The sequence below is a fragment of the Homo sapiens genome, chromosome 4 (genome assembly GCF_000001405.40).
Source record: "Homo sapiens chromosome 4, GRCh38.p14 Primary Assembly".
NCBI classification, from domain to species: domain Eukaryota; kingdom Metazoa; phylum Chordata; class Mammalia; order Primates; family Hominidae; genus Homo; species Homo sapiens.
The window spans coordinates 118787380-118813859 of NC_000004.12; the positions used below are offsets into that span (position 1 = coordinate 118787380).

Here is a 26480-nt window from a genome sequence, read left to right on the forward strand (position 1 = left end):
AGTATTCTTTAAGTTCTTTACAGGCCATGATATCATACAGTAATCAGTTTAATTTCAGAGCATACTTATCACTAAACTAGCTAAATTTAGGCTATACATGAAAATGCATAGTCTCCCAATCTTCATGTGTTCTTTTTATTTTTAAAGTTGAGGCTGGATGTGGTGGCTCAAGTCTATAATCCCGGCACTTTGGGAGGCCGAGGCAGGTGGACTGCTTGAGCTAGGAGTTTGAGACCAGCCTAGGCAATATAGTGAGACCCTGTCTTTACAAAAAATACAAAAATTAGCCAGGTGTGGTGCACGTGGCCGTGGTCCCTATTTGGGTGGCTGAGGTGTGAGAATCGCTTGAGCCTGGGAGGTGAAGGTTGCCGTGAACAGAGATTGTACACCGTACTCCAGCCTGGGTCAAAGAGTGAAATCTTGTCTCAATAAATAAATAATGAAATAAACAAAATTAAAGTCGAGGTCTCACTCTGACACCAGGATAGAGTGACACTATGATAGCTCACTGCAGTCTCACACTCCTGAGCTCAAGTGATTCTCCTGCCTCAGCTTCCTGAGTAGCTGGAACTACAGGCATGCATCACTGTACTTGGCTACTTAAAAAAATATTTATTTTGGTAGACATGGGGTCTCACTATGTTGCCCAGGCTGGTCTCAATCTCCTGGCCTCAAGTGATTCTCTGACCTCAGCCTCCCAAGGAGGTGGGATTACAAGTGTCAGCCATCATGCCTGGCCATGTGTTTCTTTTTAAATGAATAATATAATACACTCCAGACTTAAACTGAAAGTGCTATACATATGAAATCACTTTGGGTTGGGTTGCGAAATTTGTTCACATTAATTTCTAATAACATATAGGGCTTCATAAATGGCATCTATGGTGAATGTCCAATAAAACTGGAAAAGTAAGACAGACACTATCAGCTTTCTGGATTTATGAGATAACAGAACCAGGCTTCTCCCTCTTAGAAATGGAGGCCTAAGGTCACAATATAAGGCACAGTGGAGACCTGAAATTATTTCCCGGCTCCTAATCCAGTGTTCCACCATTTGGCTACTGTGCTTTGGAAAAAGTAGCCAGTTTTTATTGGTTCCTAAAATATCTTGGTCCAAAATTCATCCAATTGTTTTACTATTCTGTCCTTTATAGTGAAAGAGAACCTCTCTCATTAATATGTGATAGAAGAAACTGAGTTAATTCTCCCACAGTGTTGAGAAACTTGTGAAAACTACATTGTCTTTCAAATGATTTTTTCTTTACCTACAGAGTTTGTTAGAGAGGTGAACAGGGTTATAAATGAAGTTGGTAGTCATTTAAAAGACATGAAATATCCAAAGTAGGATTTTAAAAAATGTTTATTTCATTAGCAACATGTTTATCAGTAGACCCAACTGCTGCCAAGGAACAACTAAGATTCACTGTGCTAAAAAAAATTAGAGGCCTAAAATACCAACAAATCAACCACCATTCTGTGATATGGTTTATTTTTGTCTTTTAAATGTCTCTACAACCCTGAGAAGAGTGCATTTATTCAACTAAGACCTCTATGCCCAGCCCACTGCTGAACTCTGGATAGTCTTTGCCTACAAGGAGTACTAAGCAGAGGCTTAAGGTCAAAAAGACTTTAAGAACTCTAAAATGATTATTTCAAGATAACTCATAAGCTTCCAGGAAGAGCAAGAGGCTCATTGCTAAAACTTTAGCCAGCAAGAAAAATAAATACTGTTTTATTGAAATTTGGAATCTTGAGTTCCAGCATATCACTTACCAGCTGGTAACTTTAATAGCCCCAGAACCTGTGGAGCTTCATCATCTATAAAAGTGGGATTACACCTATTACATAAGCTGCTATCTTCCTAAAAGAAGGGATGACATGGTCATAGTGAATAAACTACTACAGTGAGGCACTATAAGTTCTGCCAAAACTATGTCAACGCATGCAAGCAAGATTAGCTGAAAAGTCAAATGCATGACCAGCAATTCCTTTTGCAGGTGACATGTAAAGACCATCACTGACGTAACGTATTGGTGCTGGGCTTATTCTCTAACAGAATTTTCCTTTCTTGTTAACTCCATTAATCGGTTCCTTGACATCCATTCCTTTTTCCCCCACAATGGTACCCTCTTTAGATCTGCTGAATCTATCAAAATATAAACAATCATTAACAAGAAAGATTTAAACAGCATGTATTATTTATTTATTTATTTTTATTTTTTTGAGATGGAGTCTTACTCTGTCACTTAAGCTAGAGCGCAGTGGCGCAACCTTAGCTCACTGCAACCTCTGCCTCCCGGGTTTAAGTGATTCTCCTGCCTCAGCCTCCCGAGTAGCTGGGACTACAGGCACGTGCCACCATGCCAGGCTAATTTTTTGTATTTTTAGTAGAGATGGGGTTTCACCATGTTAGCCAGGATGGTCTTGATCTCCTGACCTCGTGATCCACCCACCTTGGCCTCCCAAAGTGCTGGGATTACAGGCATGAGCCACCGCGCCCTGCCTCAACAGCATTTATTAACAGGACAAAGTCCTTATTTATTTGTTAAGTCATAATTCAGGTAAAATTTTCCCAGAAAATAAGCTCCATATAACAATGAAGCTATCCCCATCAGAGCCTTTTTCACATTGTACGAAAGTTAGCTGCATTCGTGAAAAATTTTTATTAAGTCCTAGGCAAGAGTAACTGATCTTGTTTTTCTTGTTTTCCAAATTCCTAAAGTTCAGCAGAGTTCCTAGCACAGAGTAAGGAGGGGATTAAAACGCAACTGAAATGTTGAGTCTTGGATGAAAGTTTATCCTTGCTAATTCAATAAGCAAGGAAATTACTTTGACTACTATATCCATTTATAACTGAAAAATATACACAGATATTCCTGAATCTAGTCACAGATGGAGTAAAAGCTTCTACCATCTGGTTTATAGGTGAAATTACTTAATTGCATGTATAATTAGACTATGCACTTGTCCAAAAGATAAACATTTCCTATTTTAGAGAAAAAAATGCAAAATTAAATTAGTTATAATCTTCAATCCTTTTGCACTGGACTTCTACACCATACTACCTCAGTTCCTAAAATACAGCATCAAAAATTAAAACACAGTTTACTAAACAAAAGGGTTTACAGCATAACCAATTACTTTTGCTACATATATACCTCAGAATTAATTATACTGGCTGTGGGGATGGGTTTCACTTAAAAGACATAAAAATTTAAAACGTATGGTAAGGAATACGAAATTTAAACAGTGACAACATAGATATATCCCTGGAAATAGCAAACATCTCCAAAGCAAATATTCCTAAGGAACATCCTCTCGTCCAAACCGCTTGGGTTAGGTTTATTTTTATAGGCCGTTGCTAACACAATAGCATGCTTAGAAATGTTGGAACCTGTCAAACAATGGAACCAATTTTAAAAAACACTGTACTAAATAAATACTTTGGTAGATGTCAAAGCAGCTTATCTCTAAGGAAAGATTTTAAAATTGCAGTAATGATGGCAATACTAGATAAGCAAACAAAACATAAAATTTTACTAACACTGAAATAAATCATTTATAGTAGAGGAAGATAATTAAAGATGACTTTATACATAGAATAACAGTATTCAAGTAATACATTTGCTTAGAAAAGATACTTTAAAACTGTTATTTCCTTGATTAGAGATTATAAATATCTAAAATAGCAGCATGTCCCTCATTTTCTATTATTAACTATAATTGTTTAGTTTTTTATTTTTGTCTCACACAATTAGATAAACGATAGTGCCACTTATTGATATGTGGAAAAATAAACAGGTTTGGGGTGCAGAGATCAGAAGTTCATTTTTGGACACGTTAAGTTTGAGGTTTCTATGAAGCACCCAAGGAGAGATTTCAGAGAGGTGTTTGGATATGTGAGTATGGGACTGAAAATGTAAAAACGAATGAATGAATGAGTAACAGCGCAGTGCTTTAGAGCACTTTAGACACCAGAGTCTCTGTGGTTTTGCATCCTAGCTTTGCTATTTAGCAGCTGTTGACCTTAACAAGTTATCTAACTCTGTGCCTCAGTTTACTTATATCTAAAATGGGGATAAGTAGGTTAATGTGATAATTAAGTAAATAAATATTTTTAAAATTTATAGCTCTCCCTACTCCCTACTCCCTCCTCCCTCCTCTCTCTCCCTCCACGGTCTCCCTCTGATGCCGAGCCGAGACTGGACTGTACTGCCGCCATCTCGACTCACTGCAACCTCCCTGCCTGATTCTCCTGCCTCAGCCTGCCGAGTGCCTGGGATTGCAGGCACGCGCCGCCACGCCTGACTGGTTTTCGTATTTTTTGGTGGATACGGGGTTTCGCCGTGCTGGCCGGGCTGGTCTCCAGCTCCTGACCGCGAGTGACCTGCCAGCCTCGGCCTCCCAAAGTGCCGGGATTGCAGACGGAGTCTCGCTCACTCAGCGCTCAATGTTGCCCAGGCTGGAGTGCAGTGGCGTGATCTTGGCTCGCTACAACCTCCACCTCCCAGGCGCCTGCCCTGGCCTCCCAAAGTGCTGAGTTTGCAGCCTCTGCCCGACCGCCACCCCGTCTAGGAAGTGAGGAGCGTCTCTGCCTGGCCGCCCATTGTCTGGGAAGTGAGAAGCGCCTCTTCCCGGCCTCATCCCGTCTAGGAAGTGAGGAGCGTCTCTGCCTGGCCGCCCATCATCTGGGATGTGGGGAGCGCCTCTGCCCCGCCGCCCCGTCTGAGATGTGAAGAGCGCCTCTGCCCGGCCGCGACCCCGTCTGGGAACTGAGGAGTGTCTCTGCCCCGCCGCCACCCCGTCTGGGAGGTGAGGAGCGTCTCTGACCGGCCGCCCCGTCTGGGAAGTAAGGAGACCCTCCGCCCGGCAGCCGCCCCGTCCGGGAGGTGGGGGGCAGCCCCCGCCCGGCCAGCTGCCCCGTCCGGGAGGTGGGGGGGCGCCTCTGCCCGGCCACCCTGTCTAGGAAGTGAGGAGCCCCTCTGCCCGGCCGCCACCCCTTCTGGGAGGTGTACCCAATAGCTCATTGAGAACGGGCCTAAATGACGATGGCGATTTTGTCGAACAGAAAAGGGGGAAATGTGGGGAAAAGAAAGAGAGATCAGATTGTTACTGTGTCTGTGTAGAAAGAAGTAGACATAGGAGACTCCATTTTGCTCTGTACTAAGAAAAATTCTTCTGCCTTGGGATGCTGTTAATCTATAACCTTATCCCCAACCCCGTGCTCTCTGAAACATGTGCTGTGTCCACTAAGTGTTAAATGGATTAAGGGCGGTGCAAGATGTGCTTTGTTAAACAGATGCTTGAAGGCAGCATACTCATTAAGAGTCATCACCACTCCCTAATCTCAAGTACCCAGGGACACAAAGACTGCGGAAGGCGGCAGGGCCCTCTGCCTAGGAAAACCAGAGACCTTTGTTCACATGTTTATCTGCTGACCTTCCCTCCACTATTGTCCTATGACCCTGCCAAATCCCCCTCTCCGAGAAACACCCAAGAATGATCAATAAATACTAAAAAACAAAACAAAACAAAAAAACATAATTTTGCTTTTTATAAATTTTGACTGTTATTATTCCCATCAGTAGCAACAGCAGCTGTTACAGATGATATTTAGTTTTTGGAGGGGATAGGGTATCTAAGGGGAGTGGAAAGAAGATCCCAAGTTCAAGCCTTGACTAACCTCCAAATTAGAGATCAGGAAAATAATAAAGGGAACTTAAATGTTCCCTGCCTGTGACGTAGGAAAAATTAGACCAGGACGGTGTCATGGAAGCCAAAAGAGGAGAATCTGTCAAGAAGGCCCGGCCGGGCGCGGTGGCTCACGCCTGTAATCCCAGCACTTTGGGAGGCCGAGGCGGGCGGATCACGAGGTCAGGAGATAGAGACCATCCCGGCTAAAACGGTGAAACCCCGTCTCTACTAAAAATACAAAAAATTAGCCGGGCGTAGTGGCGGGCGCCTGTAGTCCCAGCTACTTGGGAGGCTGAGGCAGGAGAATGGCGTGAACCCGGGAGGCGGAGCTTGCAGTGAGCCGAGATCCCGCCACTGCACTCCAGCCTGGGCGACAGAGCGAGACTCCGTCTCAAAAAAAAAAAAAAAAAAAAAAAAAAGAAGGCCCAAACACTTGGTAGCACACAGACTTGCATCTAGCTAGCTGGTGTAGTAGAGCAGCAATAATTCCCTAATGTTGGTGGCTCTCCAAGTTTAGGTCCAGCTACATGCCCAAAAAGGAAGACATTTTTTGGGCACATGCCCCTGAGGAACTTCTTCCTGGTGTTGCAGCATCCCTTTCACAGTCCTTATTTTTTGACTTCTAAGTCTATTTCAACAAATAAAAATAAAAGTATTCCTTTAAATAGAGAGTGTCTTCATTCAAACCAGGAAGCACTGCTATATAAAGGGAAGTAATTCTTAAATATATTCAGAGTAATTCTATTCTTGAATGTCTAGGGGAAAAGAAAGGGCTTTGTGTAGAGAGAGCCTGAGTAGAGAAAACAGTACTGTCAAATACATTTACATAGTCAGTATTCAGAGTCTCCAACAACATTAAAGGAATAGAGTATGTTATTTTCACAAGTAGAGCGTCTCCCTAAGTCAGATTCCAGAAATAAGCTACCATTCTAACCTCCTGTTTAATACTTTGGAAAGCACAGAGATGAAAATGCAGCACAAGTCCTTACTAAAAGATCCTATGTTACTGGGTAGGTAGTATTTGGTTAAAACAAACAACTTTGGAAAATAGAAACCATACCCACTCAATTTATGTATAAAATGCGTATATGCATTTTTTAGGAGGCTTAAACTAATGTTTGAAAGATTTTTTTCAACAGCATTGAAATGCCAGGTTTTATTTTCCAGAAGACATTAGTGAATAATTTTATAATAATTAATACTAAATGATGATAACAAGAAGGTTCCAGACTCTAGTTTTGGGTGTGAACAATTGCTGAGTTTTGTTCTATTTCATGCATATTTGACCCAGGTCAGCTTTATCACGAGGAAGGGGCAAGGAGGGGGTTTTTGCTAGTAGATAACTGAAAACCATGCAAACTCATTGCCATTAACAAGGTGCAGCCAAAACTGACATTATTCATGTGTATAAATCCTATGTATCCACAATACTGATATACAATAGAATTGCTTCCTATGATATTTTGTTATTTATATATGCTGCAGGTTTCCGTCAAGGTAGAAGTATCTTCTGTTTATGAAAATAAAAGATCTCTTTGATAAGGTTCAGATAGCAAAGGAACAAATAAGTCAGAGGCTGCACATGTGTAGCAACCCCATCCCCCTGAGAAAAGCTGTGGGGATGGTTCTTGTAGGCACACTGATGGCAATACATTTCCTCAATTTTAGGATTCATAAAAGTTTCACATTTTTGACAGTATGCATCTCAAAATTGATTTTGTATGTACAGTTATAATATTTCTCATATTAATATATTACCCCGCTGTTTTAAAGGAGGTAGCTCTGTAGGAAATAATATAAAATCAGCACCAGATATATTAATTTTAAAAAGTATAGAACAATGTGTGTACCATTCTATCATTTACATTTACATACTTTTTTTTTGAAGGATAGATAGTTATATATTGTTATATGCATATTTTATTTCTAGAAGGAATCACAAAGAACAGGTAAGGGCTACATGAAAGGGGAGGAAGCAGAGGTAGGCAGAGGCCTATTTTTCATTGTATGCCCTTTTCATCTTTGGATTGTTTATGTTTTACTTATTTAAAAGTACAGTAATTGACTTTCAAAAGAAAAGACCAATACTACATATTGTTATAGATACCTGCATACAAAGTCAGCACATAAAAACTTTTTTTTTTTTTTGAGACAGAGTCTCCCTCTGTCTCCAATCTTGTGAGCCAAGATTATCACATAATCTTGGCTCACTGCAACATCTACCTCCTGGGTTCAAGCAATTCTCCTGCCTCAGCCTCCCGAGTAGCTGGGACTACAGGCACACACCACCATACCGGGCTAATTTTTGTATTTTTAGTAGAGATGGGGTTTCATCATATTGGTCAGGCTGGTCTCAAACTCCTGACCTCTGGTGATTCACCCGCCTCAGCCTTCCAAAGTCCTGGGATTACAGGTGTGAGCCACCGTGCCCAGCCTAAAACCTCTTATAGTAGGCCAAGGTGTGGCGGTATGCTCATACAATGAATTGCACTATTCAGCAATAAAAAAGAAACAGACTGTTGATACATGCAACATCACAATGGCTCTTTAAAACGTTATGCTGAGTAAGAGAACCTTTGTACAAAATAGAGCATACTTTATCATTCTATTTACATGAAGTCCTAGAATAGGCTAAACAAATCTATCACAGAAAACAATCACAACTGTGGCTGCCAGGGAAGGGAGGTTATGTGAAGGGGTGGGGGTCGCCTAGGAAAGGGCATGAGATAACTTTCTGGGGTGGCAATTATGTTCTATGTTTTGATAGGTGTCTCGGCTACATAGGTATACACAGTTGTCAAAACTCAATAAACGTTCACTTAAGACATGTACATTTTATTGTAAATGAATTTTGCCTCAAATGAGAAAATAATCCGTAAGCAAATTTTGAACACTACCTAATGATATGCATTCTGGAGTATTTAGTATTTAGTATTAAGTGTCTAAATGTCTGCAATTTACTTTGAAATTGATCAGAATAAAAAAGATGGGTTGATGGACAGATGAACATCATGATATGTGACAAAACAAGTGTAGTTACATGTTAATGGTAATATCCAGGTGGCAGGGATATAGGTGTTCACTATGAAATCGTTTTAGATTTTCTGTATGTTTGAAAATTTTCAAAACACAATGTTGAAAATAGCTTTGAAAATACTTCTAGTTAAGTTTTTCTTTAAAATGCATGCATTGTACATAGCGGCATCTCTGTCAATACATATTGGTCTACCTCATTCATACTAAGCATAGTGAGTTTAATGAGGTGTTTATAAATATTATATTAAATTTCTAGAACCATCATGGAAGAGACTATGGTTAAAATATGTAAAGGAGATACTGAATGTACATCTTGATTTGCAAATACGAAACCATACCACACGTAAGTTTGGCTTCTAACAACAGTTCAATGCCTCTCCCATGACCTACTCTAAGCCAGTTCACTCTGCTCCCAAAAGGAAGTGTTGGCAGCATTACATTACATTCATAAGGACAGTGAGTGAAGATCCCAAAGGGCATGAAAGCTACTGCACACATCACACATCTCTCTTTTCTCTCTTCTTTCCCTTAGTGGACATAAAGCCCCACTCACCATAGCTTCCTCCTCCCCTTCCTCACACTGCTTTACTCTCCATACCAGCTGGTGTGGTGAGCCCAAGAAAGGGAACGAATCTGTTTGCTCTTGCAGATGCTCTGCCTCTTGCTTAGATGCTGCTAGGTGTACATTACATCAGCCTACTTCAAAGGATCATTAGATCCAACACTGAGGTTTATGCTGGGAGGGAATACTGGGGCTCTGGCCTTTAGTGCAGCAAGAGGAATCTGTGGTTCGGCCTAGCTTACCTGGATACTACAATGGGTTATGGTCACAGCTCCAGCTGGAAGTCAAGCTTTTCTTCCCCTGTGTGACTTGCTCTGCTATAGTGCCTGTGTTTCTGTGCGCATGTGGGCATTCATCACTCAGGGGCATCAAAAGAAGGAATGGCAGCAGTGTAGGTTGGAATTGGGTTGTTCCTGGAAGTCTAGATCAAATACCCACTGGCAGCATCCTGACACTGCAGATTTTCAATGTAAACCACTTATCTTTTTTTCCCGCTCAACTATATGTTGAGCACATATTTTCAAATCAATATATACAGATTTATCTATCCCATACTTTCTAATCTTTAAGTAGGAGTTGATGAGTATCCTGGCCCAGTGATAATTAAAGCAGATGTAGTAAGATCTGCTCTAATAGATCAAGGACTATAGGATCTATCATCTTCCCTCAACAGAACACCCACAATGTAAGGGCTCTAAACTAGGGTATCAGGGCCTTGTGACAAGTCACAATACTTTTACTGTGTGACATTCTATATTTTCTGTATGTGTGCATTACTACAATACGCCAAAAAGTGACGCAGTCCATCTGTATTTGGTGTACAGGATGCCAAAAACCATAGCTTGCTGGATTATTTGTTTTCCTGATGAATTCAATTACTAGATGTTTTGCATTATAAAAATATATTCCAGTTTCCTGTTTATATTATAGAATAATGTATAAGAAAATTGTGAGAAAATGGTAATTTTGGAATTGATAAATTATTGAATTGCTATTATATATCATTCTTACCTCATTTGAAGGAATGGTGGCAAAGGGCTTGATGACAGCAGCTAATGGAATCTGAGCTTGCTTAGCCATATCTGACGTGCATGGAAAACAGTATGTTGTACAACGGATGAATCGAGGACTGGCATTTCCTGAAACATTCAAAAGGATACACTTAAAACTTGTTTAGAAAAAAACCTTCCCTAAGATATTCAAATATTTATAAAGGTACTTCTAGATAATGCATTGCATTATTTCTTATTTGTAAAACTCTCTTCATGATTTGTTTTTTAAAAAAGTAGTATTGTGCAATTCTACAATCTATATTCTAGGCATACTGTAATTTCTTACAAAATAAAAATACTCTGAATCCTACTGCAAAGATATAAAAGAAGTATCTTAGTTATTATTATTTTCCATAAGCAGAGTCTTAATATAGCCTTACTATATATTTGAGAGGCATTTAGATGCAATGGAAAAAATAAAACAAAGAGACACACAAATATGACAGAACAAAACTTTTGAATCACAATCATTTCTTCTTCATCCTCTTCTATCTGCTTATGGGAAAGGTAAGCATTTGTATACTATTTCATATTAGCAAGTGATACTTTGTCAAATATGATTCCATTTGACTATTTTTTTCTAAATTTGGAAATTGAATTTCAAAATGAAAATTCTACTTATAATAGAAATATTATTTTCAAAAACACCCTAAACTATTTTTAATAGATGTTAGGCTTCCTGACCAAAATATCTTTACTTCATGGCATATCCGAGTGTTAAAACAATATCTATGACATAAAGAATATTTGTATCACTAGAATAACTTATCTAAGATAAATTTTGAAATAAAATATTATGACTAAAAGAATGTAATCATCAATCAAATGTTCACTGAATGTCTAAGACATTTCAGGCCCTGTCCTAGGTGCTTGCAGAGCTTATGTTCTTGCAGAGGACACAGACAATGAATATTACGCCTAATAAAAGTAAATTATATAGGACATTAGAAGGTGATAAATGCTGTGAAAAAAGCATATCTAGTGAAGGGGTACCAAGAAGTGGCAGGCAGATTGCAATTTTAAATACTTACAAGGTAGGCCTTATTTAAAAGGTAACATCTGAGCAAAGAGTCATAGGAGGCAAGCGATTTACCCTAGTGGGTATCTGGGGAAGGACATGCCCGGAGTAGTGACAGCAGGAGGCCCATGGAGCTGGAATGGAGCCACTGTGGGGGGCACCAACTGGTGTGGAGTTCAGCGAAGCAACAGGCCAGATGAGGTAGACTCTTGAGACCATTTTAAGCCCTCTGGCTTTTCTCCCAATGAAATGGGGAGCCACTGATGGCTTTAGAGCAGAGGAGTGTCATGCTGTAATGTAGGTTCCTCTGCCTGCATTTTCAGAATGGATTGCAGTGGGGAAGAGTAGAACCAGGGAGACCATGTGGAGGCTGCTGCAGTACCAGCCTGACAGGAGTAGAAGTGTTGAGATGTGGCTAAATTCTGGATATATTTCAAAGGTACAGTGACTTATTTGTTAAGGGCATATAAGGTGTGAAGATGTGAGTGTGAGAGAGCGTGATGGTCAAGAACGACTCTTAAGATTGCTGGCCTGAGAAACCAGAAGCATAAAATTGCCACCAACTGACAAAGTAAAGGCTGCAGAAAGGGAAGGGATGTTTTAACGGGTGTGCGGGTAGAGATCAGGAATCTAGTCAGGGACATGTCCAATTTGGGAAATCTATTACACAGTCATACAGCAATGCTGAGTAGACAATTAGATATGTACATCTGGAGACTGGGCTAAAGTCTGGGGTGGAGATACACATTTGGGAATTCTTAGCATATAGATGGTATTTGAAACCATGAAACCAGGTTAAAACCACCAAGGGAATAATTATGGCCAAAGAAGAGAAGATGACCAAGTACTGAGCCCTGGGGTCCTCCAAGATAAGGAGGTCAGAGGAGGAGGAGAAAGCAGCCAAAGGACTGAGAAGGATGAAACGAGGAGCCTAGCGTCCTGAAGTGAAGTGTAGGATGTGTATCACGCGGAGGCACGATCATCTGTGCCAGATGGTGCTGCTGGAGATCCTAAAGAGGCAGTTTTGGTGGAATGCTAGGGAAAAATCTGCTCAGAGTGAGTTTAAGAGATAACAGAAGGAGAAGAATTGGCAATAGTCCTTTTAAGTTTTGCTGTAGAGGGGTGGAAAGAAAAGAGTGCTAGCTGGTAAGGGAAGTGGATCAAGAAAACATTTTTATATTTTAAGATGAGAGAAGGTTTTTTTTAAAAAAAGATGGGAATCATTCTGTAGAAAGAAAAATACTGATGATTTAAGAGGAAGAGGGGAAACTTACTGTGGAAATATACTTGAGTGGTGCACAGGGAGAGAGGCTGGCTTTCGACTGGAGCACAGATTGCTCACTGAGGGCCAAATGCAGGTGGGCACAGTGGGAGGATGCGCTGAGACTGGGGGTCCACGTGGTGGTGGGGTGCATGGAATTTCCTTTCTGAAAGGAGGATGTAAAGCAGCTAAAAGAAAGATGCGAGAGAAGGTGCTGCAGGTTTGAAAAAGTATGAAATAGTCACTAAGGAGAGTGGAAAAGTGAAAAGACTTGAGAAATACAGTATGTTGGGAAGTTTATGGTCCTGAGCTTAAACAGCGATTGTGGCGGGGTTGTGAGCCTCTCTCTGGCCATGTTTTGCTGCACAGATGCAGACCTGAAATGAACGGGAGGTTGGACTTAAAAAAGCTTTTATTCTGTTCATTTCCAAGCTACTAGTGCCAGATTTCACAGTTTTTAGGACAAACTGGAAATCCGGATTTTTATATAATGTATTCTGATTTTTAAATAATGACAATTAATTCAAATAGAAACAGAAGAAATTACTGTGTAGGACAAATTAACATGACTGCAGGCTGAATCCAGTCCTTGAGCTGCTCTGCAGAGCATCTGAGAGAAGGGGAAGACACAGTACTAACAACAAGGGTGATAATAATAACAGCAGCCAATGCGCTAGACATCATTCTAAGACTGTTACGTGTAAACTCATTTAGCCCCACAATAACTCTATGGATTAATATATTTATAATCTACTTTACTGAGGAGGAAACTGAGACACCGGGAGGTTATGCGACTTTCCAAAAGTCAAAGAGTTAGTAAGTGGCAAAAGTGGCATTAGAACCAATTATAAATTTCTACAACATCCCAGAAAAATTGAGTCCAGGTTGTCAAGGCCTGGAATGCTGGATGAGGAGTTGAGACCAACCCTGTCTGCCCATGGGCAACCGTGACATTTTTTTAGTCAGGGTTAAAAAAAGGCCAGTCACGGTGGCTCACGCCTGTAATCCCAGCACTTTGGAAGGCCGAGACGGGTGGATCACAAGGTCAGGAGATTGAGACCATCTTGGCTAACACGGTGAAACCCCGTCTCTATTAAAAATACAAAAAAATCAGCCGGGCATGGTGGCGGGCACCTGTAGTCCCAGCTACTCGGGAGGCTGAGGCAGGAGAATGGCGTGAACCTGGGAGGCGGAGCTTGCAGTGAGCTGAGATCGCGCCACTGTACTCCAGCCTGGGCGACAGAGCAAGACTCCATCTCAAAAAAAAAAAAAAAATCGAACTTTTTTTGGCAAGGGTAAAATGATCAATTAAGTAATTGAAGAAAATCAGTCTGCCCAAAGTTAGATAGCTTCTAGGAACAGAAAAAGAATACAGACAGGTAAACTGGTCCATTGCTTTAAGAGCCCAGGTAAGCAGTAACAGAGGAGGAAACCAGACTTTTGGCAGCAGGAATACAAGTAAAGGAACTCTTAGGTAATATTAATATATGTAAGTATGCTTGAATGCTTAATAGTGTTTGTTTCATATTTAAACAAAACTTTCCTTATTATCATCATTACACAACGTTATACAGACCATGAACTAAGAATTTTAAAAGTATTTGAAAGTTTATTTTAATTTTCCATTGCACTCAATTATACTCGTTAAAATTACCAATAAAATATTGAAGCTGGATATTTGTTACCTTTAAAGGGTTTATTTTTTGACAGTGAAATATGCATAAATGAATGAGCTCTAAAGGTGACTAAACAAATGCTTCGTATAGGAAGATAATGTGCACAAATAATAAAATTTGAAAAAGCAATTGAGAATTTGTTTCTATAAACAGGTATACAACAGTGGGGCATAAAAGGTCTGGCTACCGTGGATAATTTAGCAACCACAGGAACTAAGATTTGAAACTTTTTGAGATGCTTAATAAAGAGCATTATGTGATAATTTTACTGAAAACATTCAATAAATTCATTCCACAAACATTTACTAAGCAAAGCTCCAGGAAAGGGCTTAGAAACAGAATACAGTAAAGTCTCTGGCTTCACAATCTAGTTGGAAAGAGTGACAGTAAAAATAGATCATTGCAACATAGCATGGTAAGCATCACAGAAGAGCAAATAGATTAAGAAACAGAAGAAGGGAGACAATGACTCTGTCACTTGGACCAGAATTGACCACACGAAGGATGAGGTGCTTGAACAGGGTCTTAAAGGATGGGAACCAAAGGACAAGTGGAATCTTAAAATAAGATCCTGGAGCCAAAGGCAAAGGAATAATATTTTAAAGTTTAAGAATATTTTAAACTTTTCTTTGTTGGCTCTGATCCTAACCAGCTGTATGGCCTTGGTCAAGCCACTTAACCTCCCTGGGCCTTATCCTTACATCTGTAAAGTGAGAGAGCTGAGCAAATAAAGTCCAAGGTTCCTTCCAGCTCTATATTGTACTTATGTCTGTGAATTTCTGTACAAGTCTGAGAATCTTGAGCTACATCCTAAAAAGCTTATTACTATTGGCAAATAAGCCAGGTCAGACAAAGGGGCTTCATAGCAAAAGGGTATGACTGGGCCAACTTTGGGGCTCCATACCAGGGCAGCTCTCTCTTCTTGCCAAGGGCTAGGCTGCAGGCTAAGGAGAGAGAACGATGACTGAGACCCTGCCACCTTACTAGTCCTGCCTGCTCACCCACTCCTTCCTTCATACTCTTTCCATACTATACGATCCAGCAATTTCACTTTTAGGTACAGTATATACTCCAAAGAAGTGAAAGCAGGGGCTCGCATAGATACTTGTACGTAAATATCCACAGCAGCATTACTCACAAGAGCCAAAAGGTAGAAACAACTCAAATGTCCTTCAACAGATGAATGGAAAACAAAATGCAGTATGTATAAAAGACGGAAAGTTACGTAGCCTTAAAAAGGAATGAAATTCTGATATACGCTACAAGGTAGATGAACCTTGAAAATATTATACTAAGTAAAATAAACCAGACAGAAAAGGGCAAATATTGTATGATTCTCTCAAATGAGGAGCCTAGAGTAGGCAAACTCATAGAGACAGAACGTAGAACAGAGTCTACCAGGGGCTGGGTGGGGTGGAAGAATGGGGAGTTATTGTTTAATGGGTACAGAGTTTCAGTGTGGGATGATTTTTTTTACAGTTCTAGAAACAGGTAATAAGAATGATTTGGTTGCACAACATTGTGAATGTAATTAAGGCCACTGAATTGTATACTTAAAAATGGTTAAAATAATAAATTTTATGTTATATATATAGATTTGACCACAATTTAAAAACTACCCACAAGTCCCTCAAAAAACAAAAAGCTATGCACATGCTGTTACTTGACATGTATTATGCTCTCTCCCACTACCGTACTTCAGCACATTCACCTCCTCTGCCTGGCAACCCTCCCCTCCCCCATCTCCCTAGTCTTGTGGGTTACACTTGCTCACTGAAGACACAGTTTGGGTGTCCCCAACTTGGGCAAGACAGGCTGGGTCAGTTATCTGGTTGGTGACCTCACATTTAAGTTCCCATGGCAACATGTGTTTTATCTTTCTAATATAACATTTATCTCACTGAATTAATATTTAGTTATCTTTTTCCTTGCCAGATTGTTCACTCATTTAAAAAAAGAGCTGTGTCTTTTATTTCTGAATAGAGGCAGTGAAGTTAAGAACACAGGCACTTGCATCAGAATGCTTGAGTTCAAATTCTAGCTTTGCCTCCTACTAGCTACATTTCTTAGGTAAATTACCTAAGCATTCTGTGCCTCAGTTTTCCACTCTGTAATATGAGAATGATATTAATGCCTATCTCGTAACATTACAGGGGGATTAAATTATTCCATATAAAGTGGTTAGAAAATTGTCTTGATACATACTAAGTACTTGCAATTATTAGCTATAATAATAATGTTAATTTGTATATTTTTATTATATTATTAACCTCAGGTTTAGCATAGAGGCCTGGCACATAATAGGTACTGAATAAACATTTTCTGGATGTATGCATGAATGAGTGAAGTTCTGAACAAGTGGAATTCTGATCCCAGATAGCTCCAAGATTTGTGGGAGAGACCTATCTAAACCACAATAAAATTTAATGTGATACGGGTGAAATATATATGAAGCATTATGGGAAAAGACACTGGAGAAGACTTGAAAAAGAAAATTTAAATTGAGTTTAGAAGAACTAAATGTTTCCCAATTAAAGGGCTGAGAGTCATACATTCCAAGTACATGTGTCCGATAAATATTTATTGGTCAACTAGTATGTTCTAGATACCAGGTGAATTTCTAAGGATACAACAAAAAACCATCCTCAGGCTGTTGCAGAGAAAACAGTACAATGTGAGAATCAGAGGCATGAGGAGAAAGACGATGAGATTGGTATATGAAGGCAATTGTAAAGCAAGAAACAGGTGGGAGATGAGGCTGGTCAGGAATATTCTTTAGGTTGAAAAAAGCCCCAATATTGTTTTATATTTATTTTAAATATTAAATAAATAGATATTAAAACACTTATATAATACTTATCATTAGGTTGAAATGAAATTGCCACCTTTTATAGGTCACAGTGATAGAAAAAAAAAATCAACAATTTCATATACCTCAACCTATTATCTACCAAGCCCTAAATCCTTTACAAATATGAACTCATCTAACTAGTTGGAATGAGTTCTAAGTAATGAGGAAGAAACAAATTATTTTTACACTTGATCTTAGCCAAAAGGCCGAGAAGGAAAAATTATTTTTAGAATAATAAATGAAGTCATCTGAATTTTTTTAATATTAGTATCTACAACACCTATAATTTACATGAAACCCTTCTGTGTATTGAGCCCTCTATACACATATAAGCATACTTATGTGTATGCATGCATACACACACACACACACACACACACACACACACACACACATATACAAAGACTCATGTACACAGTCACCTCTAATTCTTACACTGGCTCTGCAGAGCCGGTCTTAGTCTCCACATATTACTGAGGGTGATGCTGAGGTTGAGAGAGAGAGGTGAAATGGACAAAGCTCACTTGGGCAGTAAGGAGTGGAGTCTGAATTCTCCCAATCAAGTCTCTTTCTACCTCACTGTGCTACCCACTCTATAAGGTTAGCTCTGAAGGTGGCACAGAGGATAGAGAGAGGATCCCCAACTAGAACTTGGCTAGCTCAACAACTCTGGGATGAGACAAAATGCTTGTTTGTATACTGATGTTATGCTTCTAGGATTGAGTACATGATCCATTAAAATGGTATATTCAGAATCTCAGACATCAGATTTCATCGGGCTATATTCTTAACTTGTCATCAACAATAGGGTAATATATTCTTGAGCTGAGAGGTATGGAACAGCAGAGATGCAGCTCAGCTTCTCCTCTTTCCAGTTTAAATGTGGGAAAACAGAACCCAAAATGTTAAAAATATCTGCTTAGAAAATATTGTTGGGGCTAGAACCAGGTCTGCTAACATCTCAAACAGTCTAATTCCTTACTGCTCTGCTCGTGCCAGCTTTCCAACATAGTGAATAAATTAAACCAAAGTAGGGTATAAACTAATTTAAACCCATAAATTAAAATAAATAATTGTTTTAAGCAGATATATTGCTCTGTACCTCACTGGAACTCTCCAGACTTCCATACGCACAGAATAAAATTCAGTTGATAGCATCCTCTTGGTACTTGAGGGATTAACAGAGAACTGATTATCAGCTATAATGGGGTTTTCCATTATTAAGAGCATTATTGAAGGGTGTCAGTGTATTTGCTTTAAAAACGGTGAGAAATTTTAAAACCTTAATAAATGGCATAATTAAAAACAAATACCTTGGTCTTGTATCATGCAATCTGTAGTGACCAGGGGAGGGATCTGGCCTCTGGTGTTGGTGGCATAAACTTGTCCTCCTCTGCTGGCTCTATCATTCTCAATCACCTGGATCTGATAAATAAGACATCAAGAGCCCGTTAAAGTAGGTTCCAGTTCTTCCCAACATTCCATTTAGAGAGTACCCTTGCTCTCTCCTCCCTCCTTTTCCCCTCCTTCTCAATATTCACACACACAGAGATGCACACACAGTCTCACACACTCACACAAACTGGCATTTTCTAAATCCTTTCTGTTCATTTCAGATCAAATTGTCATGGAAAAACCTACCATGTCTTCAGTTAAAATGGTTACAATTTTAGAATAGTAGTTTCCAATTCTATTTTGTAATTCTTTAGCTTCAAATCTGACAACGTGACCCTTCAGAGAACTTTATTTTTATCCAATTTGTTTATTAGAACATAGGTAAGCATTTTCTTTCTTTTTTATTTATTTATTTTTTTTCATTTTTTGAGATGGGGGTCTCACTCTGTCACCAAGGCTGGAGTGCTGTGCCGCAATCATAGCTCACTGCAGCCTTCACCTCCCTGACTCAAGCCATTCCGAGTAGCTGGGACCACAGGTGGGTGCCACCACACCTGGCTAATTTTCTTTTTCTTCATCTTTTTGTAGAGACAGGGTCTCCTCTCCCTATGTTGCCCAGGCTGGTCTCAAACTCCTGGGTGCAAGCAATCCTCCTGCCTTGGCCTCTCAAAGTGTTGGTGTTACAGGTGTGAGCCACTGCACCTGGCCAGCATTTTCTTAAAAAAAAAAAAATCTGGTAAGAAAAGAAATTGAAAACAACGATTTAAAGGAAATACTGGCCTGGCACAATGGCTCATGTCTGTAATCCCAGCACTTTGGGAGTCCGAGGCGGGAGGACCACTTCAGCTCAGGAGTTCAAGAATAGCCTGGGCAACAGAGTGAGGCCTCATCTTTACTAAAAAGGTTTAAAAAATTAGCCAGGCATGGTGGCACCTGACTGTAGTCCCAGCTACTCTGGAGGCTGAGGTAGGAGGATTGCTTAAGCTCAGGAGTTCAAGGCTGCAATAAGCTATGATCGTGACACTGCATTCCAGCCTGGGCAACAGAGCAAGAGCCTATCTCAAAATAAATAAATAAAGGAAATACTCTTTCAAATAAAAGAAACTTCTAAAAGGCTAAAAATTATCTCAGAAGAAATGATTTATAATATACAACCTATAAAAACCTTAACTTTCTCCTCAAATGTCTTTTGATCTTCAATTTGCTTTTCAAGTTTCCCCAACTGCATCCCTGGTTCCTTGAGATGTAAGACACAAATGGTATAAAGCAATCCCATGTGGTTTTTGCCCGCTGCAGAGAAGTCAACAGCAGCAAAAGTCTCTTAAGTTCTGTCATCTAATGTGGAAACATCTGATATTTCTCTACTAAAAACAATTGTTATTGATGAAGAACATAAGAGATACAAAATATCTTTCTGTTCTAATTGTGTAGGGGTGAAAATTATGAGCAAAATCTAGTAGTGTGGAGTTAAAAAGAGAACAAGAAAGAATCCTAATAATTATGTTCCTCTTTCTCTTCTCCCTTCCCTCACTTCTTTCTTCATAAGAGAAACAAGGAGGAATAAAAGGAAAAAAAAATGGAGAGGGTGTAAGAAGAGGAAAAAAAAAAAATGGAGAAACAGGAAGTGTGTCCAGACTGGAATAGTGTGTCCAAACGACACCAAGGGTGCAGTTTTTAATATTCTTAAAACCATTAATAATATGAAAATTGCCTTCTGCCAAACTCTGAAATGTTGCTTTCTCTACTCTTCCCTCCCATTCCATCCACTCCAGCCCCCAGCTGGTACTGACAACACTGGTTTTATGAAATGTTGATGACAGATTTAGCCTGCCTTTAAGTCTACAGGTCTTCCCTCCTAATTTCATAGGATGTGAATTGTTATTAGATTAAAATATAAAATGGCTCCAAACATAACTGCTGTCAGACACAGATAAGACTAAAGCTACCATGAGCAGAGACAAAAAGCAGAGAAATCGAAACACTGTAATTATATTCTGTATTTTGACCACAAGGTTAATCGGATTCATTAAAAATAGAGTTGTTTTTTATCTCTTTGAGACAGGGTCTTGCTCTGATGCCCAGGCTGGAGTGCAGTGGTGTGAAGGGGGTTCACTGCAGCCTCAATCTCCTGGGCTCAAGCCATCTCTTGCCTCAGCCTCCCAAGTAACTGGGACTACAGGTGTGCACCACTATGCCCAGTTAATTTTTAAATTTTTTGTAGAGATGGGGTCTAACTTTGTTGACCAGGCTTGTCTCAAATTCTTGGGCTCAAGCTTTCCTCCTACCTTAGCCACCAAAAGTGCTGGGATTACAGGCATGAACCACTGCACCTGGCTTAGAGTCATTTTTATATTATCAATATTTATTGCAATCATTTCAACCAACAAAGAGTCAAATATGAAAGTGAGGTAAAAGCCATGATAATGTATTAGTGTGCATAATATACAGAACATATTGAATATAGTCTTCAATAGACTGAATTTCCAAAAAGTTTATTTTTAAATTATCCATTTGCAATTTACAAAGCCCTGCCTCCAAAGAAACAGTGTTATCAGTAGTAATTACATTTCTAAATTAATTCACATCTTGGATGGAATACTACAAAGAAAAGAATGGGAGATTAAAGTCGTTCTGATAATTGCTAAAAAATACTATACCTTTTTTATTTACCTCAAATGCATGTTCTTGAAAAACAGGCTTAGAGATAAAGAAGCTTCAATAGCAATTTTGACTGTGACTTGGTACCTGAAGGGTTTAGATTTAATGACAGTGATCCTTGATAATTCCAAAACTACTTCAAAAGGTATAGATTTATTTTTCCTTCAGAAGATGTGCTGCTAGAATTACGATTATATTTATCTGCTATGAGTGGAACATTCTGGGTTCATAAAACAGAATTGGAAAAGAGAAAAAAAGAAAGTGATTATCTTGAGATAAATGAACAAGGATAAGGGAAAAACAAGAAGACGTGTGTGCCATGCAAGAAAGGCTGCTTAGCAAGATCATGTGAATTTTGGAGTGGTAAGATAAAGTGGAGTAGAAAGCACCCAACTTCTTTTTTTTTTTTGAGACAGAGTCTTGCTCTGTCGCCCAGGCTGGAGTGCAGTGGCACGATCTTGGCTCCCTGCAAGCTCTGCCTCCCAGGTTCATGCCATTCTCCTGCCTCAGCCTCCCGAGTAGCTGGGACTACAGGCATGCACTACCACGCCCGGCTATATTTTGTATTTTTAGTAGAGACGGGGTTTCACCATGTTAGCCAGGATGGTCTCGATCTCCTGACCTCGTGATCCGCCCGCCTCAGCCTCCCAAAGTGCTGGGATTACAGGTGTGAGCCACCTCACCCAGCCTACAGAAAGCACCCAACTTCTGAATAATCCTCTTATGGACACAGAAAAGGAGGGAGGAAGAGTTTTGATGATGATACATTTCCTTACTTTCAAAATTTGTTTAAAACCACCACCAAAAGGGTTATAATAAGCACCTCGCTCAGGACTGGGGTATAGCAGAAGCTCAGTAAATGTGACTTTACATCTTTCTTTCCAGAAGGAAAAATTTATTTTGTTAGCAAAAGTATGTTCCTTTGGTAATAGGAATACAAACAGGCTCCATCTGACCATCACTATATCATTAGTTTTAAGATAAAAATAAATACTGGACTGATTTGTCTGTATGTATTATAAGGGTCCTGGATGAGTCACAGCATCTACTCCTTCTTGCTTTTGTTGCCCATTCATTCATTCATCCATTCAAGGAATATGTGGACATATACTATGTATCAGGCTGTGTTCTAAGTGTTAGAGACACAGCAGTGAACAAAACCATCATGGAGTGGACATTCTTGTGTGGAAGACAGGCAATAAGTAAACAAATGTACAAATAACACATCCAACATCAGGCAGTAATTCAGTGCTGTGGATATGGAGTGGTATGGATGGGGTGCCAGGGAGACTGAGGATGAGCAATGAGGACATTAAGGAAATGAGGACATGAGCTGTGCCCTGCATACATCTAGGGGAAGAGCATCTAAGCAGAATAAAGGCAAAGGCCTTGAGGCAGGACCATGCTTGGCCTGCCAAGGAACAACAAAGAGGCTGGTGTTGCTGGTCAAAGTGGGTGGAGAAGAGTGGTAAGAGACCAGGTCAGAGGTAGCTGTGTGTGTGTGTGTGTGTGTGTGTGTGTGTGTGTGTGTGTGTGTGTGTGTGTGTGTGTGTGTCAGAGGGTATAGGGGAGCCAGGGGTGGCAAATAATGTAGGGTCCTGCAGACTATTGTAAGAACTTTGGTTTTTAGAGTATTGGTTTCCGTAGCCATGACATGATCTGACTTAGAATTTGAATGGATGACTCTGGCTGCTCTGTGCAGACTGAAAGGGCAGGGAGACCAATTAGGAGGCTCTTATAAAAACCTAGGTAGGTAGATAGTAGAGGCTTGGAACAGGATGAATAGACAAGGTAGGACCAAGAGAATTAGCTAAAGAACTAAATATGAGATGTGCAAGAAAGGAAGAATCAGAGATGATCCCCAGGTTTTTGGCCTGAGGAGCCAGAAGAATGGAATTGGATCTGGATTTCAGGGAAAAGGTCTTTACTAGGAATATCTGCATTCTCATTCAAAGCCACGAAAATAGATGGAATTACCTAGAGTGGTGCTTTGCACACTTTAGTGTGCCTAGGAATCATCTGAAGAGCTTGTTGAAACACAGATTCCAGGGCCTTAGCCTTAGAGATTCTGATTCTGTAGGTTTGGGCTGAGGCCTGAGAACATGAATTTTTAATAAGCTCCCAGATGATGCTGATGGTGCTGTCCTGCGAGCACATTTTGAGAAGTGTTATCCAGAGAGTAAATGCCAATGGAGAAAGGAAAGGTCCAAAGACTAAGACTAAGTCTTTGGAAAGGTCCAAAGACTAAGCCTTAGGACACTTCTAACACTAGGTAGTCAGAGAGATGAGGAGACATTAACAAAGGAGACACAGCCTCCAGTGGGGTAGGCAGAGATATAAGCAAATGGGTGGAATCCCAGAAGCAAAATGTAAAAGTTTCATTTCAAGGAGAACGGAGTAAACAGATGTGTCAAATTGCTGCTGATGTCAAATCACATGAAAGCTGAGAATTGACCATTAGATTTGGTAACAGGAAGTCATTGGTAATTGGACTAGCACAGTATTGTGGGGTTGTGGTGATGAAATCTAAACTGGAATAGGATCAGGAGAGAGTGGGAGGAGATTAAGTGAAAACAGCAGATATAGGCAACTCTTTGGGAGATTTCTTGCTTTAAAAGAAAGCCAGGAGATGGGTGGAAACTGAATCCAGGTTTGGGGAGAGGCCAAGGAAAGCTTCTTTTATTAATGATGGGAGGCATCATAGGATATTTATATTCTGACGAGAATGATCTAGACACAGAAAAATTTAAGTTCGTTTTCAAAGAAGTGCAGATGATGCAAGAGAAAGGGGATGTGACAGTTAATTTTATGTGTCAACTTGGCTAGGCCATTTTTGGGACAAACACCAGTCTAAGTCTAAATGGTGCTATGAAAGTATTTTAAAAGTATTTTTTAAGATCTAATTAACATTTAAACAGGCAGGCTTTGAGTAAAGCAGATTACTTTCCATAATGTGGCTGGGCTTAATCTAATCAGCGGACAGCCTTAGGAGAAAAAGGTTCCCTGAGAAAGAGGAAAATTCTGCTTCCAGATGCCTTTAGACTTGAGCTGCAATATCAACTCTTCCCTGGGTCTCCAGCCTGCTGTCCTAACTTTCCCATTCAGTCCCCATAATGAAGTAAAACCATTACTTAAAATAAATCTCCCTCCTTCTTTCTTTTAAGCCATAAAAGTAATGACTGGCAATATGATTATCAATAAAGGCACTAAGAATTGTCAAAATTTAATTTCTAACATCTTACAGCAGTATACAGTATTACAAATCTTCAACTTTAAATTCAAATATAGAATAAGTGACAGATTACAAAAATAGCCAAAATTATCTACACTTCCCTGTATCAATGCTCTTTTCAATGTTGCCTTGCCCCTCCTCCCATCAAGAGGCAAAGTCCATTTTTGAATCTGAGGCAGTCTTGGGACTTGCTTTGGCCAAGAAAATGTAGCAGAAGTAGCGATGTGCCAGTTCCAAGCCTAAGCTTCAAAAGGCCACGTACACTCCTACCTTCCCTTTTGGATGTCTGCCACCCCATGAACAAACCCAGTATACCGTACTTGACAATGTGGCCTGGTCATTCCTCATCAACAGATGGGTACCAAACACAAGACACACAATTGACACTATCTATGATGGGCAGAGTGGTGGCCCTCAGAAAGATATGTCCATGTCCTAATCTCTGAAATCTGTGAATATTACTGATATGGGAGGCGGGCAGGGAAGTGCTGGGTAGAGAAAGGTGGGTCCCTGGTTAGGGCTCTACCCCCATGGACCTAGGTGAGGACAGGCACTCATCCTTCCGTGCCCAAATGTTGCATTTTCCAAAACCACCCTGGCCCGCCATACCCCCATCCTGGGCCTATAAAAACCTGAGTTCCTAGTGGGGAGACACAAAGGCAGCCAGACGTGGAGAGGAGCACATCAGCGGATAAAGATACAAGCAGCTGGACAGCGAGAGGACGTGGAGGGAGAATGCCAGTGGAAGAGCACACTGACAGACATGGGAAGAGGCGGAGTTTGGCCGGGGCAGTCGGAGACCCAGGGCCACTGAGTGGTGGGACTCCAGAGGAAAATCATCTCCCTCTGGCTCCCCCACCTGCTGAGAGCTACTTCTACTCAATAAAACCTTGCACTCATTCTCCAAGCCCATGTGTGATCCAATTCTTCCAGTACAGCAAGGCAAAAACCTGGGATACAGAAATCCCTCTGTCCTTGTGATAAGGAAGGGGTCTAATTGAGCTGGTTAATACAAGTCACCTATAGACGGCAAACTAAAAGAGCACCCTGTAACACACGCCCACTGGGACTTCAGCTGTAAACATTCACCCCTAGACACTGCCATGGGAGTCGGAGCCCCACAGCCTGCCCATCTGTATCCTCCCCTAGAGATTTGAGCTTTGGAGCACTGAAGAAGCGAGCCACACCCCCACTGCATGCCCTCCAAGGGGCACGAGGGAACCTTTTCCATTTCATTACCTCATATGGCAAAATAATTTTATTAAGTTAAGGATCTTCAGAGGAGGAGCTTATCCTGGCCCTGAATGGAATCACATGTATAAGAAAGAGGCAGAGGAATTTTGAGACAGACACCCAGAGAAGAAGACACAAAGAGAAGGAGGACTCAATGTGACCACAGAAGCAGAGACTGGAGTCACATGGTCACAAGCCAAGGAAGACCTGGAGCCACCAGAAGCTGAAAGAGCCTAGGAACAGATTCTCCTCTACAGCCTTCAGGGGCAGCACAGCCCTGCTTAGTCCGTTTTTCATTGCTTATAACACCTGAAACAGTAATTTATAAAGAAAAGACATTTATTTCTTATAGCTATGGAGGCTAAGACGTCCCAGGTTGAGGGGCCACATGTGGTGACAGCCTTCTTCTGGTGGAGACTCTGCAGAATCCCAAAGCGGCACAGAGCATGACATGGCAAAGGGGCTGAGCGTGCTAGCTCAGGTCTCTTTTCTTCTTCTTATAAGGCCACCAGTTCCACTCCCATGATAACCTATTAATCCATTAACCCACTAATCCATGAACGGATTAATCCATTCACAAGGGCAGAGCCCTTACGACCCAATCATCTCTCAACACTGCCACACTGGAGATTAAGTTTCAACATGAGTTTTGGAGAAGACAAATGTTCAAACCACAGCACTTGCCAACATATTGATTTTGGACTTTTGGTCCCCAGAACTGTGAGAGAATACATTTCTGTTGTTTTTAGTCACCTGATTTGTGGTAATTTGTTACAGCAGCCACAGGAAACTAATACATTATCCTAAACCAT

At 40.4% G+C, this 26480-nt stretch overlaps 1 protein-coding gene across 2 annotated transcripts in view; it reads right to left on the minus strand.

Annotated features, from left to right (window-relative positions):
* Window positions 1-26480, minus strand: part of SEC24D (SEC24 homolog D, COPII component) — a 113304-nt gene that overhangs the window by 64557 nt on the left and 22267 nt on the right. For both annotated transcript variants that reach the window (NM_014822.4, NM_001318066.2), the window contains exons 7-8: window positions 18464-18575; window positions 10304-10431 (exon numbers count right to left, since the gene is read on the minus strand). In NM_014822.4, coding sequence (NP_055637.2) covers window positions 10304-10431; window positions 18464-18575 — 240 coding nt within the window. The remainder of the gene's footprint in view (window positions 1-10303; window positions 10432-18463; window positions 18576-26480) is intronic.